General features: G+C 38.2%; 1 non-coding gene across 1 annotated transcript; it reads right to left on the bottom strand.

Annotated features, from left to right (window-relative positions):
* Positions 1–2,914: 2,914 nt before the first annotated feature.
* On the bottom strand, positions 2,915–2,986 carry TRQ-TTG4-1 (tRNA-Gln (anticodon TTG) 4-1). The gene has a single exon. It is a non-coding gene; the product is annotated as a tRNA-Gln (tRNA).
* Positions 2,987–17,298: the final 14,312 nt, after the last annotated feature.

Raw genomic sequence — 17,298 nt, 5'->3', positions numbered from 1 at the left:
TATATCTTCTTTTAGAAATGTCTATTCAAATCTTTTGTCCATTTTTTAATCGGGTTATTGGATTTTTTTCATATAGACTTGTTTGAGCTCCTTATGTATTATGGTTATTAATCTTTTCTGAGATGAATAGGTTGCAAATATTTTCTCCTATTCTGTGGGCTGTCTTCACTTTATTGATTGTTTCCTCTGCTACTTGGAAGCTTTTTAATTTGAGGTGATCCCATTTGTCCATTTTTGCTTTGATTGTGCTGTCAGGGTATTACTCCAGAAATATTCAACCAGGCCAATGCCCTGTAGAGTTTTCCCAATGTTTTCTTTTAGTAGTTTCATAGTGTGGGATATTAGATTTAAGTCTTTCATCTCTTTTCATTTTATTTTTATACATAACGAGAGATGGAGGTCTAGTGTCATTCTTCTGCATGTGGATATCCAGTTTTCCTAGCACCATTCATTGAAGAAACGTTTCCCCCAATGCATGTTCTTGATACTTTTGTCAAAAATTAGTTCACAGTAGATGCATAAATTTATGTCTGGATTCTGTGTTTTGTTCCATTGTTCTATGTGTCTGTTTTTAATGCTAAGACCATATTGTTTTGGTTACTATAACTCTGTAGTATAATTTGAAATCCAGTAATGTGATTACTCCAGTTTTTGCTCAGGGTGGTTTTGGATATTCTTATTCTTTTGTGGTTCCACATAAATTTTAGATTAATTTTTTCTATTTATGTGAATAATGTCATTGGTATTTTGATAGGAATTACATTAAATCTTTAGATTGCTTTGGATAGAATAGAGATTTTAACAATATTGATTTCCAGTCCATGAATGTGGAATATCTTTTCATTTTTTGTGTCCTCTGCAATATCTTTCATCAATGATTCATAAATTTAATTGTAGAGATCTTTCACTTCTTTTATTGAGTTATTGCCTAGGTACTTAATTTTATTTGTAGCTATTGTAAATGGAATTACTTTTTAGTTTCTTTTTCAGATTGTTTGTTGTTGGCATACAGAAATGCTACTTATTTTGTATGTTTATTTTATATCCTGCAACTTTACTGAATTGTTTTATCAGTTCAAATAGTTTTTTGGTGGAGTCTTTAAGTTTCTCTAAATATAAGATTATATCATCTGCAAACAGAATAATTGGACTTACTCCTTTCCAATTTAGATGCCTTTTATATCTTTCACTTGTCTGGTTGCTCTAGCTAGGATTTCCAGTACTATGTTGAATAACAGTGGTAAAAGTGGGCATCCTTGTCCTGTTCTACATCTTAAAACAAAGGCTTTCAGTTTTTCCCTGTTCAGTATGATACTGTCTGTCTGTCACATATGGCTTTTATTGAGTTGAGATATGTTCCATCTATACCCATTTTTTAAGGTTTTTTCATGAAGGGATGTCAAATTTTACCAAACGCATTTTCAGCATCAATTGAAATGATCATATGATTTTTCTCCTAAATTATCTTGATATGATGTATCACATGGATTGATTAGTGTTTGTTGAACTATCTTTGCATATCTGGGATGAATCCCACTTGGTCATGATGAACGATTTTTTGAGTGTGTAGTTAAATTCAGTTTGCTAGTATTTTGTTGAATGTTTTTGCGTCAATGTTTGGCCTGTAGTTTGTTTGTTTGTTTGTTTGTTTATGTGTTTTTGTCTGGTTTTAATATAAGGGTAATTCTGGCCTTGTAGAATGAGTTTGGAAGTATTCCCTCCTTTATTTTTTGGAATAGTTTGATTTGGATTGGTATTAGTTCTTCTTTAAATGTTTGATAGAATTCAACAGTAAAGCCATCGAGTCTTAGGCTTTTGTTTGCTGGAAGCATTTTTATTACAGCTTCAATTTCAGTACCGGTCATTGGTCTATGCAGATTTTGGATTTTCCCGTAGTTCAATCTTTGTAGGTTGTATGTGTCTAGGATATATCCATTTCTTCTAAGTGTTTCGATTTGTTGGCATATTGCTCATGTTAGTCTCTAATGATTCCTTGAATTTCTGTGATATCAGTTGTTGTTTCCTTTTTCATCTGTGATTTTTATTACTTGGGATGTCTTTCTTTTTTCTTAATCTGGCTGGCTGAAGGTTTGTGGATTTTGTTTATCTTTTCAAAAAGCCAACTTCTGTTTTGTTGATATTTTATGTATTTTTTCATTTCAATTTCATGTATTTATGCTCTTATCTTTATTATTTCTTTTCTTCTACTAAATTTGTGTTCAGTTTTACTTTCCCAGTTTTTTATTATTTTTATTTTTATGGGCATATAGTAGGTGTATGCATTTATGGAGTACATGAAACTTTTTTTTAATTATTTTTTTGAGATGGAGTCTCACTCTGTCACCAGGCTGGAGTGCAGTGGTGCAATCTCGGCTCACTGCAATCTCCGATTCCTGGGTTCAAGTGATTCTCCTGCCTCAGCCTCCCAAGTAACTGAGACTACAGGCGCCCACCACCATGCCAGGCTAATTTTTTTATTTTTAGTAGAGACAGGGTTTCACCATGTTGGCCAGGATGGTCTTGATCTTTTGACCTCGTGATCCACCCGCCTTGGCCTCCAAAAGGGCTGGGATTACAGGTGTGAGCCACCGCACCCGGCCCGAAATTTTTTTTTTTAATGGGGTTTCACTCTTGTTGCCCAGGCTGGAGTGCAATGGCACGATCTTGGCTCACTGCAACCTCCACCTCCTGGGTTCAAGAGATTCTCCTGACTCAGCCTCCCAACTAGCTGGGATTACAGGCATGCACTGTCACAGCTGGCTAATTTTGTATTTTTAGTAGAGACAAAGTTTCTCCATGTTGGTCAGGCTGGTCTCGAACTCCTGAACTCAGGTGATCCACCTGCTTCGGCCTCTCAAAGTGCTGGGATTACAGGCGTGAGCCACTGCGCCTGGCCAAAATGTACTCCTTTGAAAGGTCCCACCAAGATTCGAACTCGGATTGCTGGATTCAAAGCCCAGAGTGCTAACCATTACACCATGGGACCAATCCAAAATGTTTTAATACAGGCATGCTATGTGAAATAATCACATCATGGAGAATGAGGTATCCATCCTCTTAAGCATTTATCCTTCATGTTACAAACAATCCAATTACACTCTTTTAGTTATTTTATAATATACAATCAAGTTATTATTGACTAGTTGTGCTATCAAATAGTAGGTCTTGTTCATTCTTTCCAACTATTTTTTCTTTTTCTTTATTATTATACTTTAAGTTTTGGAATACATGTACAGAATGTGCAGGTTTGTTACATAGGTATACCCGTGCCATGGTGGTTTGCTGCACCCATCAAACCATCATCTACATTAGGTACTTCTCCTAATGCTATCCCTCCCCTAGCCCCACAACAGGGTTCCACTATGTTCGCCAGGATGGTCTCAATTTCTTGACCTTGTGATCTACCCACCTCGACCCCAGTGTGTGATGTTCCCCTCCCTGTATCAATGTGTCTCATTGTTCAACTCCCACTTATGAGTGAGAATATGCGGTGTTTGGTTTTCTATTCCTGTGTTAGTTTGCTGAGAATGATGGTTTCCTGCTTCATCCATGTCCCAGCAAAGGACATGAACTTATCCTTTTTATGGCTGCACAGTATTCCATGGTGTATATATGCCACATTTTCTTTATCCAGTCTATCATTGATGGGCATTTGGGTTGGTTTCAAGTCTTTGCTATTGTGAATAGTACTGCAATAAACATACGTGTGCATGTGTCTTTATAGTAGAATGATTTGTAATCTCTAGGGCATATACCCAGTAATGGGATTGCTGGGTCAAAAGGTATTTCTGGTTCTAGATCACTGAGGAATCACCACACTGTCTTCCACAATGGTTGAACTAATTTACACTCCCACCAAGAGTGTAAAAGCGCTCCTATTTCTCCACATCCTCTCCAGAATCTGCTGTTCCCTGACTTTTTAGCAATCACCATTCTAACTGGCATGAGATAGTGTCTCATTGTGGTTTTGATTTGCATTTCTCTAATGACCAGTGATGATGAGCTTTTTTTCATATGTTTATTGGCTGCATAAATATCTTCTTTTGAGAAGTGTCTGTTCATATCCTTTGCCCACTTTTTAATGGCGTTGGTTTTTTTTTTTGTACATTTATTTAAGTTCCTTATAGATTCTGGATATTAGCCCTTTGTCAAAAGGATAGATTGCAAAAATTTTCTCCCATTCTGTAGATTGCCTGTTCACTCTGATGATAGTTTCTTTTGCTGTGCAGAAGCTCCTTAGTTTAATTAGATCTTATTTGTCAATTTTGGCTTTTGTTGTCATTGCTTTTTGTGTTTTAGTCATGAAGTCTTTGCCCATGCTTACATCCTGAATGGTATTGCCTAGGTTTTCTTCTAGGATTTTTATGGTTTTAAGTCTTATGTTTAAGTCTTTAATCCATCTCGAGTTAATTTTTGTATAAGGTGTAAGAAAGGGGTCCAGTTTCAGTTTTTTCCATATGGCGAATTTTCTCAATACCATTTATTAAATAGGGAATCCTTTTCCCATTGCTTGTTTTTGTCAGGTTTGTCAAAGATCACATAGATATGTGGCATTATTTCTGAGACTTCTGTTCTGTTCCATTGGTCTATATATCTATTTTGGTACCAGTACTGTGCTGTTTTGGTTAATGTAGCCTTATAGTATAGTTTGAAGTCAGGTAATGTGATGCCTCCAGCTTTGTTCTTTTTGCTTAGGATTGTCTTGGCTACATGAGCTCTTTTTTGGTTCCATATGAAATTTAAAGTACTTTTTTCTAATTCTGTGAAGAAAGTCAATGGTAGCTTGATGGGGATAGCATTGAATCTATAAATTACTTTGGGCAGTATGGCCACTTTTGCGATATTGATTCTTCCTATCATTAGCATGGAATGTTTTTCCATTTGTTTATGTCCTCACTTATTTCCTCGAGCAGTGGTTTGTAGTTCTTCTTGAAGAGGTCCTGCACAACCCTTGTAAGTTTTATTTCTAGATATTTTATTCTCTTTGTAGCAGTTGTGAATGGAAGTTCACTCATGATTTGGCTCTCTGTCTATTGTTGGTGTGTAGGAATGCTTGTGATTTTTGCACATTGGTTTTGTATCTTGAGACTTTGCTGAAGTTGCTTACCAGCTTAAGGAGATTTTGGGCTGAGACGATGGGGTTTTCTAAATATATAATCATGTCATCTGCAAACAAAGACAATGTGACTTCTCCTCTTCCTATTTGAATACTCCTTATTTCTTTCTCTTGCCTGATTGCCCTGGCCAGAACTTCCAATACTATGTTGAATAGGAGTGGTGAGAGAGGGCATCCTTGTCTTGTGCTGGTTTTCAAAGGGAATGCTTCCAGCTTTTGCCCATTTAGTATATTAGCTGTGGGTTCATCATTAATTGCTCTTATTATTTTGAGATACATTCCATCAATACCTAGTTTATTGAGAGATTTTAGAATGAAGGGTTGTTGAATTTATTGAAGGCCTTTTCTGTGTCTATTGAGATAATCATGTGGTTTTTGTTATTGGTTCTGTTTATGTGATGGATTACGTTTATTGATTTGTGTATGTTGAACCAGCCTTGCATCCCAGGGATGAAGCTGACTTCATCATGGTGGATAAGTGCTGCTGGATTCGGTTTGCCAGTATTTTATTGAGGATTTTCACATTGGTGTTCATCAGGGATATTGGCCTGAAATTTTATTTAATGCAGTTTCTTCATAGTGTCTCTGGTCTCTACATGTTTTTCCAGTGGTTAATACCGGTTTTTCCTTTCCATATTTAGTGCTTCCTTCACAAGTTCTTGTAAGGCAGGCCTGGTGGTGACACAGTATCTCAACATTTGCTTGTTTGTAAAGGATTTTATTTTTCTTTCACTTATGAAGCTTAGTTTGGCTGGATATAAAATTCTAGGCTTAAAATTCTTTTATTTAAGAATGTTGAATATTGGCCCCCACTTTCTTCTGGCTTGTAGGGTTTCTGCAGAGAGATCTGCTTTTAGTCTGATGGGCTTGCCTTTGTGGGAAACCTGACCTTTCTCTCTGGCTGCCCTTAACATTTTTTCCTTCATTTTTAACCTTGGTGAATCTGACAATTACGTGTCTTGGGGTTGCTCTTCACGAGGAGTATCTTTGTGGTGTTCTCTGTATTTCCTGAATTTGAATGTTGGCCTGTCTTGCTAGTTTAGGGAAGTTCTCCTGGATAATATCCTGAGGAGTGTTTTCCAACTTGGTTCCATTCTCCCCATCACTTTCAGGTACACCAATCAGACGTAGGTTTGGTCTTTTCACATAGTCCCATATTTCTTGGAGGCTTTGTTCATTTCTTTTCATTCTTTTTTCTCTAATCTTGTCTACATGCTTTATTTCATTAAGTTGATCTTCAATCTCTGATATCCTTTCTTCTGGTTGCTTGATTCGGCTATTGATACTTGTGTGTGCTTCACAAAGTTCTCATGCTGTGCTTTTCAGCTCCATTAGGTCATTTATATTCTACTCTAAACTGGTTATTCTAGTTAGCAATCCCTCTAACCTTTTTTCAAGGTTCTTAGCTTCCTTGCATTTGGTTAGAACATGCTCCTTTGGCTCAGAGGAGTTTGTTACCACCTTCTGAAGCCTACTTCTGTCAATTCGTCAAACTCATTCTCTGTCCAGTTTTGTTCCCTTGCTGGCGAGGAGTTGCGGTCCTTTGGAGAAGAAGAGGCATTCTGGTTTTTAGAATTTTCAGCCTTTTTGCACTGGTTTTTCCTCATCTCTGTGGATTTAACTACCTTTGGTCTTTGATGTTGGTCAACTTTGGATGGGGTTTCTGTGTGGACATCCTTTTTGTTGATGTGGATGCTATTCTTTCTGTTTGTTAGTTTTTCTTCTAACAGTCAGGCCCCTCTGCTGCAGGTCTGCTGGAGTTTATTGGAGGTCCACTCCAGACGCTGTTTGCCTGGGAATCACCAGTGGAAGCTGCAGAACAGCAAAGATTGCTACCTGTTCCTTCCTCTGGAAGCTTCATCCCCAGAGGGGCACCCACCAGATGCCAGCCAGTGCTCTTCTGTATGAGGTGTCTCTCGACCCCTGCTGGGAGGTGTCTCCCATTCAGGAGGCAGGGGGGTCAGGGACCCACTTGAGGAGGTAGTCTGTCCCTTAGCAGAGCTCAAGCGCTGCGCTGGGAGCTGGGAGTGCTCTCTTCAGAGCTGGCAGGCAGGAATGTTTAAGTCTGCTGAAGCTGCGCCCACAGCTGCCCCTTCCCTCAGGTCCTCTGTCCCAGGGAGACGGGAGTTTTATCTATAGGCCCCTGACTGGGGCTATTGCCTTTCTTTCAGAGATACCCTGCCTGGAGAGGAGAAATCTAGAGAGGCAGTCTGGCTACAGCAGCTTTGTGGAGCTGTGGTGGGCTGCGCCCAGTTCGAACTTTCTGGCAGCTTTCTTTATGCTGCGAGGGGAAAACCACCTATAAAAGCCTCAGTAATGGCAGGTGCCCCTCCCACCAAGCTCATGTGTCTCAGGTCGACTTCAGACTGCTGTGCTGGCAGCGAGAATTTCAAGCCTGTCAATCTTAGCTTGCTGGGCTCCATGGGGATAGGATCCACTGAGCTAGACCACTTGAATTCCTGGCTTCAGCCCCTTTTCCAGGGGAGTGAAGGGTTCTGTCTCACTGGCATTCCAGCTGCCATTGGGGTATGAAAAAAAATCTCCTGCAGCTAGCTCAGTGTCTGCCCAAATAGCCGCCCAGTTTTGTACTTGAAACCCAGGGCCCTGGTGGTGTAGGCACCCAAGGGAATCTGTTGGTCTGTGGGTTGTGAAGACCATGGGAAAAGCATAGTATCTGGGCCAGAATGCACTGTTCCTCACGGCACAGTCCCTCATGGCTTCCCTTGCCTAAGGGAGGGAGTACCCTGACCCCTTGTGCTTCCCAGGTGAGGCAACGCACCACCCTGTTTCAGCTCACCCTCTGTGGGCGGCACCCACTGTCTAACCAGACCCAAAAGAGATGAGCTGGGTATCTCAGTTGGAAATGCAGAAATCACCTGCCTTGTGCTTTGATCTTGCTGGGAGCTGCAGACCAGAGCTGTTCCTATTTGGCCATCTTGCTAGCCACCCCTCTCTAAGTACCTTTTCACACCCATTAACTATCCCCACCTCCCTCTACCCCCACTACCCTACTTAGCTTCTGGTTTCCATCCTTCTGCTCTCTATATCCATAAGTTCACTTGTTTTGATTTTTAGATCCCATAAATAAGTGAGAATATGTGGTCTGTTTTTCTGTGCCTGTCTTATTTCACTTAACATAATGATCTCTAGTTCTATTTATGTTTTTGCAAATGACAGAATTTCATTCTTTTTCATGGCCGAATAGTAGTACATTGTATATATGTACCACATTTTCTTTATCCATTCATCTGTTGATGGTCACTTAGGGTGCTTCCAAATCTTAACTATTGCGAGCAGTGATGCAACAAACATAGGAGTGCAGATATCTTTTTGATATACTGATTTTCACTCTTTGGGATATATGCCCATCAGTGAAATGCTGGATCTTATGGTAGCTCTAATTTTAGTTTTTTGAGGAAACTCCAAACTGTTCTCTACAGAGGTTGTACTAACTTACATTCCCACCAACAGTGTACGAGGGTTCCCTTTTCTCCATATGCTTGTCAGCATTTGTTATTGCCTGTCTTTGGATATGAGCCATTTTAACTGGGGTGAGATGATATTTCATTGTAGCTTTGATTTGCATTTCTTTGATTATCGAAGATGTCAAGCACTTTTCACATGACTGTTTATCATTTGTCTGTCTTCTTTTGAGAAATGCCTGTTCAAATTTTTTGCCCAGTTTTAGATTGGATTATTAATTTTCTTCCTTTAGAGTTGTTTGAGCTTCTTACATATTCTGATTATTAATCCCTTGTCAGAGGGGTAGTTTGCAAATATTTTCTCCCATTCCATGGGTTGTCTCTTCACTTTGTTAACTGTTTCCTTTGCTGTTCAGAAGCTTTTTAACTTGATGTAATCCCATTTGTCTGTTTTGGCTTTGATTGTCTGTGCTTGTGGGGTATCACTCAAAAATTTTTTGCCCAGGGCAATGTCCTAGAGAATTTCCCCAATGTTTTCTTGTAGTAGTTTTATACTTTAGGGTCTTAGATTTAAGTCTTTAATCAATTTTAATTTGATTTTTGTATATGGTGAGAGATAGGGGTCTATTTTCATTCATCTGTATGTGGATATCCAATTTCCCCAGCATCGTTTATTGAAGAGACCATTTTTTCCTCAGTGTATGTCCTTGGCACTTTCATCGAAAATGAGTTCACTGTAAGTGTGTGGATTTGTTTCTGGGTTCTTTATTCTGTTCCATTGGTCTATGTGTCTGTTTTTGTGCTAGTACCACACTGTTTTGTTTACTATAGCTCTGTAGTATAATTTGAGGTCAGATAATGTGATTTCTACAGTTTAGTTCTTTTTCCTCAGGATAGCTCTGGATATTCTTTGTCTTTTGTGGTTCCATATAAATTTTAGGATTTTTTTTCTATTTCTGTGAAGAATGTCATTGGTATTTTTATAGGGCCTTGCACTGAATCTGTAGATTGCTCTAGGTAGAACAGACATTATAACAATATTGATTGTTCCAATCTGTGAACACGGAGTATTTTTTTTTCATTTTTTTTTTGTGTCTCTTCAATGTTTTTCATCGGTGTTTTATCATGTTTATTATAGAAACTTTCACTTCTTTGGTTAATTCCTAGGTATTTTATTTTATGTGTGATTATTGCAAATGGGATTACTCTTTAAATGTCTTTCTCAGATTGCTCACTGTTGGCATATAGAAATGCTACTGATTTTTGTATGTTCATTTTGTATCCTGCACCTTTACTAAATTTGTTTATCAGTTATAATAGCTTTTTTGTAGAGTTTTTAGGTTTTTCCAAATAGAAGATTATATCATCCGAAAACAAGAATAATTTGGTTTCTTACTTTCCACTTCGAATGCCCTTTATTTTTTTCTCTTGTCTGGTTATTCTAGCTAGGACGTTCAGTACTGTGTTGAGTAACAGTGTTGAAAGCCAGCATTCTTGTCGTGTTCCAGATCTCAGGGGAAAGACTTTCAGTTTGTCCCTGTTCGGTATGATACTAGCTGTGGGTCTGTCATATATAGCTTTTATTGTGTTGAGGCATATTCGTTCTATACTCAGTTTTTTTTTTGGTTTTTATTATGAAGGGATTTTGAATTTTATCAAATGATTTTTCAGCATCAATTGAAATGATCATATGGCTTTTGCCCTTCCTTCTCTTGATATAGTGTATCACATTGATTGATTTGCATATGTTGAAGCATCCTTGCATCCCAGGGATAAATCCCACTTGGTCATGATTAATGATCTCTTTAATGTATTGCTAAATTTGTTTTGCTAGTGTTTTGTTCAGGATATTTGCATCCATATTCATCAGAGATACTGTCCTGTAATTTTCTTTTTTTGAAGTGTCTTTGTCTGGTTTTGGTATCAGGGTAATATTGGCCTTATAAAATGAGTTTCAACGCATTCTTTCCTTCTCTGTGTTTCATAATAGTTTGAGTAGGATTGGTATTAATTCTTTAAATGTTTGGTAGAATTCAGCAGTAAAGACATCGGGTCTTGGGCTTTTCTTTACTGGGAGCCTTTTTGACAGTTTTGATCTTATTATTTGTTACAGGTCTGTTCAGGGTTTGGATTTCTTCCTGATTCAATCTTGGTAGGTTGTATGTGTCTTAGAAATTGTCAATTTATTCCAGGCCAATTTATTGGTATGTAGCTGCTCATAGTAGCCACTAATGAACTTTTGAATTTCTGCAATATCAATTGTAATGTTTCATTTTTCATTTCTGATTGTATCCATTTGGGTCTTTTCTCTGTTTTTCTTAGTCTAGCTGAAGGTTTGTCAAATTTGTTTAGCCTTTTAAAAAACCAATGTTTTGTTTCATTTATCTTTTGTATTGTTTTTATTTATCTCAAATTCATTTATTTCTGCTGTGATTTTTATTATTTATTTTCTTCTACTAATGTTGGATTTGGTTTGCTCTTTTCTAGTTTTTTAAGAAGCATCTGGCTGGGCATGGTGGTTCACGCCTGTAATCCCAGCACTTTGGGAGGCTGAGGTGGGCAGATCACCTGAGGTCAGGAATTTAAGACCAGCCTGACCTACATGGAGAAATTCCATCTCTACTAAAAATACAAAATCAGCTGGGCGTGGTGGTACATGCCTGTAATCCCAGCTACTGGGAAGGCTGAGGCAGGAGAATCACTTGAACCCAGGAGGCGGAGGTTGCAGTGAGCCAAGATTGCACCATTTCACTCCACCCTGGGCAACAAGAGCAAAACTCTGTCTCTCAGGAAAAATTAAAAAAAGAAAAAACCATCTTTAGATTGTTTATTTAAAGTTTTTTCTCTTTTTTGATGTAGGTACTTATAGCTATGAAATTTTTAGCACTGCTTTTGCTGTATCCTGTAGGTTTTGGTATGTTGTGTTTGCATTACCATTTGTTTCAAGAAATTTTTCAGTTTCCTTCTTAATTTCTTCATTGACCCACTGGTGTTTTTCTAGTTCTTCAAAATGTATCATTAGGTGACATTTTCTATGTTTTTGAGGTAGGCACTTATTGGTATAAACTTTCCTCTTATAACTGCTTTTGCTGAATCCCATAGGTTTGGGCATGTTGTATTTTCATTTATTTTCATTTATTTCAGTAAATTTTTAAATTTCCTTTTTAATTTATTCATTGGCCCACTGTTCATTCGGGAGCATATTGTTTAATTTCCATGTGTTTGTATAGTTTTCAAAATTCTTCTTTTTATTGATTTCTAGTTTTATTCCATTGTGGTCAGAGAAGATACCATATATTATTTCAATTGTTTTGAACTTTTTAGTATCTCTTTTAAGGCCTAATGTATAGTCTGTCCTTGAGAATGATCCATTATTCTCCTGTTGAAGAGAAGAATGTGTATTCCTAGCCATTGGATGAAATGTTCTATAAATATTTATTAGGTCCATTTCGTCTACAATACATATTAGGTCCAATATTTCTTGTTGGTTTTCTTTCTGGGTAATCTGTCCAGCACTGAAAATGGGGTGCTGACATCTCCATTTATAATTGTATTGGGGTCTTATCTCTTTCTTTAGTGCTAATAATATTTGCTTTATATGCCTGGGGGTTCCAGTGTTTGGTGCATATATATTTAAAATTGTTACAACCTCCTGCTAAATTGATCACTTTATCATTATGTAATGAAATTCTTTGTCTCTTTTTATTATTTTTGTCTTAAAGTCTGTTCTATCTGATATATATATATGCTGCTGCTGCTCACTTTTTTATTTCCATTTGCATAAAATGTCTTTTTCCATCCCTTTATTTTTCATTCTATGTGTGTTTTTATAAGTGAAATGTGTTTTTTGTAGGCATCAGATAATTGAGTCCAGTTTCTTAAATTCATGCAGCCACTGTCTTTTGATTAGAAAGTTTAATTCACTTGCATTCAATGTTGTTATTGATAAGTAAGGACTTAACTCCTGCCATTTTGTTATCTATTTTCTCTGGTTGTTTGTGGTCTTCCCTTTCTTTTTTCTGCCTTCCTGTCTTCCTTTTTCTGAAAGGGATTTTCTCTGATGGTATGTTTTAATTTCTTGTTTTATATTTTTTGTGTATCTGTTATAGTTTTTTTAATTAGAGGATATCATGAGGCTTGCAAATAACGTCTTATAACTCATTTTTTAAACTGATGACAACTTACTTAATTCTGTTTGCAAAACAAACACGGAAAGACAAAGCTAATAAAAACTCCACAATGTACATCATCTCCACTCCTGCTTTTAATCTTTTTGTTGTTTCTATTTATATCTTATTATATGGTCCATGTCTTAAAAAGTTGTTGCAGTTGTTATTTTTGATAGGTTTGTCTTGTAGTCTTCCTAGTCAAGATATGAGTAGTTTACACACCACAATTACAGTGTTATTACATCTGTCTTTGTCTGTGTACTTACTGATACCAGTGAATTTTGTACCTTCAGATAATTTCTTATTGCTCATTGGGATCTTTTATTTTAGACTGATGGATTCCCTTTAGTATATCTCACAAGGTGAAGTCTGGTGTTGGTGACAACCCTTAGCTTTTGTTTGTCTGGGAAGTCTTTATTTCTCCTTCATGTTTGAAAGGTATTTTCACCAGATATGGCTATTTTAGGGTAAAAGTTTTTTTCCCTTCAGCACTTTAAGTATGTCAAGTCACTCTCCCCTGGCATGTAAGGTTTCCACTGAGAAGTTTGCTGCCAGTTTTGTTGGAGCTTCATTGTATGTTATGTGTTTGCTTTCTCTTGCTGCTTTTAGGATCCTTTCTTTATCCTCCACCTTTAGGAGTTTGGGTACTACATGTCTGGAGGTAGCCTTTATTGGGTTAAATCTGCTTGGTGTTCTATAACTTTTTTGTGCTTAAATATTGATATTTTCCTCTAGGTTTGGAAAGTTCTCTGTTATTATCCCTTTGAATAAACTTTCTACTCCCCTGTCTTTCTCTACCTCCTCTTTGAGACCAATAACTCTTAGATTTGCCCCTTTGAGGCTATTTTCTGGATCCTGTAGGCATGATTCATTATTTTGTATTCTTTATTGTTTTATTCTTTTTTCTTTTGACTCTTCAGACTGTATATTTTTAAACAACCTGTCTTGAAGCTCATTAGTTCTTCTTCTGCTTGATCAGTTCTGCTGTTGAGAGATTCTTTTGCATTCATTCTTCAGTTTGCCAATCAAATTTTTCAGCTCCCAAATTTCTGCTTGATTTTTAAAAATTATTTCAGTCTCTTTGTTAAATTTATCTCATAGGATTCTGAAGTCCTTCTCTGTGTTATCTTGGATTTTGTTGCATTTCCCCAAAATAGCTATTTTGAATTCTTTGTCTGAAAGGTCACATAGCTCTGTCACTCCAGAGATGGTCATGATGCCTTATTCAGTTTGTGCTTTGAAGTCATTTTTTCTTGGATGATTCTGATGCATGTGGATGCTCATCTATGTCTGGGCATTAAAGAGTTATTTATTCTAATCTTTGCAGTCTGGGTTTGTTTGTACCCACCCGTCTTGAGAAGACTTTCCAAGTATTCAAAAGGAATCGGGTGTTGTGATCTAAGTTTTTGGTCACTGCAGCCTTATCTGTATTAGGGGTCACCCCAAGCCTAATAACACTGTGGCTCTTGCATATTCATAGAGGTACTGCCTTGGTGGTCTTGGGTAAGATCTAGGGGAATTCCCTGGATTATCAGGCAGAGTCTCTGTTCTGTTTCTTAACATTCCCCCAGTCAAATGGAATCTCTCTTTCTTTTCTTTTTTTTTTTGAGATGGAGTTTCACTCTTGCTGCCCAGGCTGGAGTGCAATGGCGTGATCTCGGCTCACCACAACCTCCGCCTCCCAGGTTCAAGTGATTCTCCTGCCTCAGCCTTCTGAGTAGCTGGGATTACAGGTGCCTGCCATCATGCCCGGCTAACTTTTGTATTTTTAGTAGACACAGTGCTTCTTCATGTTGGTCAGGCTGGTCTCGAATTCCCAAGCTCTGGTGATCCGCCCATCTCAGCCTCCCAAAGTGCTGGGATTACAGGCGTGAGCCACCGTGCCCAGCTGGAATCTCTCTTTCTGTGCTGAGCTGCCCGGAGTTGGTGGAGAGTTACAGAAGCACTCCCATGGCCACCACTGCTGGAATGTATTGGGTTACATCTGAAGCCAGCACAGTATTGGTTCTCATCCAAGGCCTGTGGCAACTATTTCCTGGCTATTGCTGATGTTAATTCAAGGCCCAAAGGCTCCTTAGTCAGCAGGTGATGAATCCTGCCAGGACTGGGTCTTTCCCTTCAGTGAAGCAGGTTGCCTTCTGGTCCAGGGTGTGTCTAGAAATGACATCCAGGAGCTAGGGCCCGGCACAGGGTGCTTTAGGAATCTACCTGGTGCTTTATGTTACTGGGGCTAAGATGATATCCAGGTTGCAAGACAAAGTCCTCTTTTCTTTTTCCTCTCCTTTCTTCAAGCAGAAGGCATGTCTCCCCATGGCCATCGCAGCTGGGAATGTGCTGAGGTCAGCATGCTGAAGCCAGCATGCTACTGGGTCTTACACAGTTGCCCGTGGCAACTGCTGCCTGGGTTCTGCTGATGTTTATTCAAGGTCCAAGTGCTCTTTAGTCAGCAGTTGGAGAATTCTGTGAGGACTAAGTCCTTCCCTTCAGTGCAGTGGGTTCCCGTCTGGCCCATGGTGGGTCTAGAAATGTCATCTGGGAGCTCTGGCCTGGAATGGGGGCTTCAAGACTCTGCCTGGTCCTTTATTTTATGATGGCTGAGCAGGTATCTAAGTTGCAAGACAAAGTCCGTTTTTACCCTTCCTTCTCCCCCTAGAGCTGTGCTTTCTGGAGTGGGGAGGGGTGATGCAAGTACTACTCCCTTGGCCACCCCAGCTAGTGTCTCACTGGGTTGCATGTACCCCAAGTCCACTGGCTCTGAATACATTACAGCACCAGGACTTGTTTGGGAATTGCAGTCCTTGTGGCGTAGACTGCCACTGCATTTATTTAGGACCTCAGAGTGCTTTAGTCCATATTGATGAGGCTAGCCAGAACTTAAGTTCCAACCACTGGGAGGGATGATTCTCCTCTGGCTAGGGCTGGTCTAAATGCTCCCTCCATGGGCACCAGCCAAATTCTGCCCTGTGTTGCTTTGCACTGTGACAGAGCAGCACTGAGTTCCACTGCAAAGTCCCATAGCAACTTTGCTTTCCCTTCCCCAAGCACACAGATTCTCTCTCTATGCCACATAGCATTGCCAGGGGGTGGGGGAGGGGTGGTGTCAGCAATTCAAGACTGTGTTTCCTACCTTCTTCAGTGCCTCTTTCCTGATACCAGGTTAAAACCAGGTACTGTGATTGCTCACCTGATTTTTGGTTCTTATGAAGATGCTTTCTTGTGTGGATAGTTGTTAAATTTGGTGTTCCTGTGGGTGGGGGATGATCCCCAAAGCGTTCTATTTGGCCATCTTGCTAGATCTCTCTTAGTTATGTTTTTTAATAAGCTTTTTATTTGAAATAATTTTAGATACATAAAGAACTTATGTTATTAGGGTCCAGTATTTTACATATTAAATATCACTATTATCATTACTATTATACATTTCATGTTTGTTTATACTTACCCATGTATGCATTAATATATTTATTCATCTTTCATACATTTATTTTAAACACTCAACCTAGATATATCTTCCTTCTTGTTGAAGTCGTCCTTTAGAATTCCTCTAGCATCCTCTGATGATAAATTCACCAGCTTTTGTTCAGCTCTGAAAAGTCTTTATTTCATCCTCATTAATGAAGAAAGCTTTCCTGGGGATATAATACTAAATTGGCAGTGATTTTCTCTTGCAATGTGGAAGATGTTATTCTGCTTTCTTCCGGCTTCCATTGTTGCCTTTGAGAAGTCAGAAATCAGTGTGATTTTTGTTCCTCTGTAGGAGGTCTGTAGTTTTCTCTGTCTGCTTTAAATATATATATTTTTTGTTGATATTCAGCTATTTCATGATGGTGTGTCTGTGTGTTGATTTTTTGTTTCTGTAAGTAATTCATTGGGTTCTCTACATCTGAAGAATTGTGCCTTTGTACTTTTCAACAATTTTGGTAAATTATCCTCCATTATTTCTTACACATGGCCTCCTCCATTTTATTTCTTTTAATTACCTCTGGAAGATAGATGATAGATAGATAGATAGATAGATAGATAGATAGATAGATAGATAGATAGATGATAGATAGAGATATTATAGATTTATAGATTTTTACATAGATTTATATATAGAATATATGAGTCACTCTTATCCTTCATAAGCGTAGGAGTTAATCTGCCTTCATTTCTTTCATCTTGCCTTTTTGGATCAGTATACCAAATTTTTTCAGACCTATATTCCAGTTCACTGAGTTCCTCTTCAGTGTATCCAATCTGCTATTTAATTCATCCATAAAATTTTAAATTTTGTTTGTACATTTTTGATTTCTAGAAGTTCTATTTGATTATGTTTCCAAGGTGTTAGGTTACTTTTTGTTATCTCTTGTTTGCCCAAAGGGCAAGTAGATTTTCAGTTTATTTAGGCATATTCCATAGTTCCATATTTCATACTTCATTTACAATTCAGTTTCTGATAATACCAGAAGTACTTGCAGGTCTGTTTTCATGTTTCATCTCACTTGTTCTCACAGGACCTCGTGTGCTTTGGGATTTTCTACCTCGAGCCTGTTCATTTTCCTTAGAATTATTTCTGTGAGAATACTTTGAGGCCTGGGTTGAAGTTAAG

Source organism: Homo sapiens, chromosome 6 (genome assembly GCF_000001405.40).
Source record: "Homo sapiens chromosome 6, GRCh38.p14 Primary Assembly".
Lineage (NCBI taxonomy): Eukaryota > Metazoa > Chordata > Mammalia > Primates > Hominidae > Homo > Homo sapiens.
The sequence above is the reverse complement of the archived record's forward strand: the minus strand, read 5'-3'. Positions and strand labels throughout refer to the sequence as shown.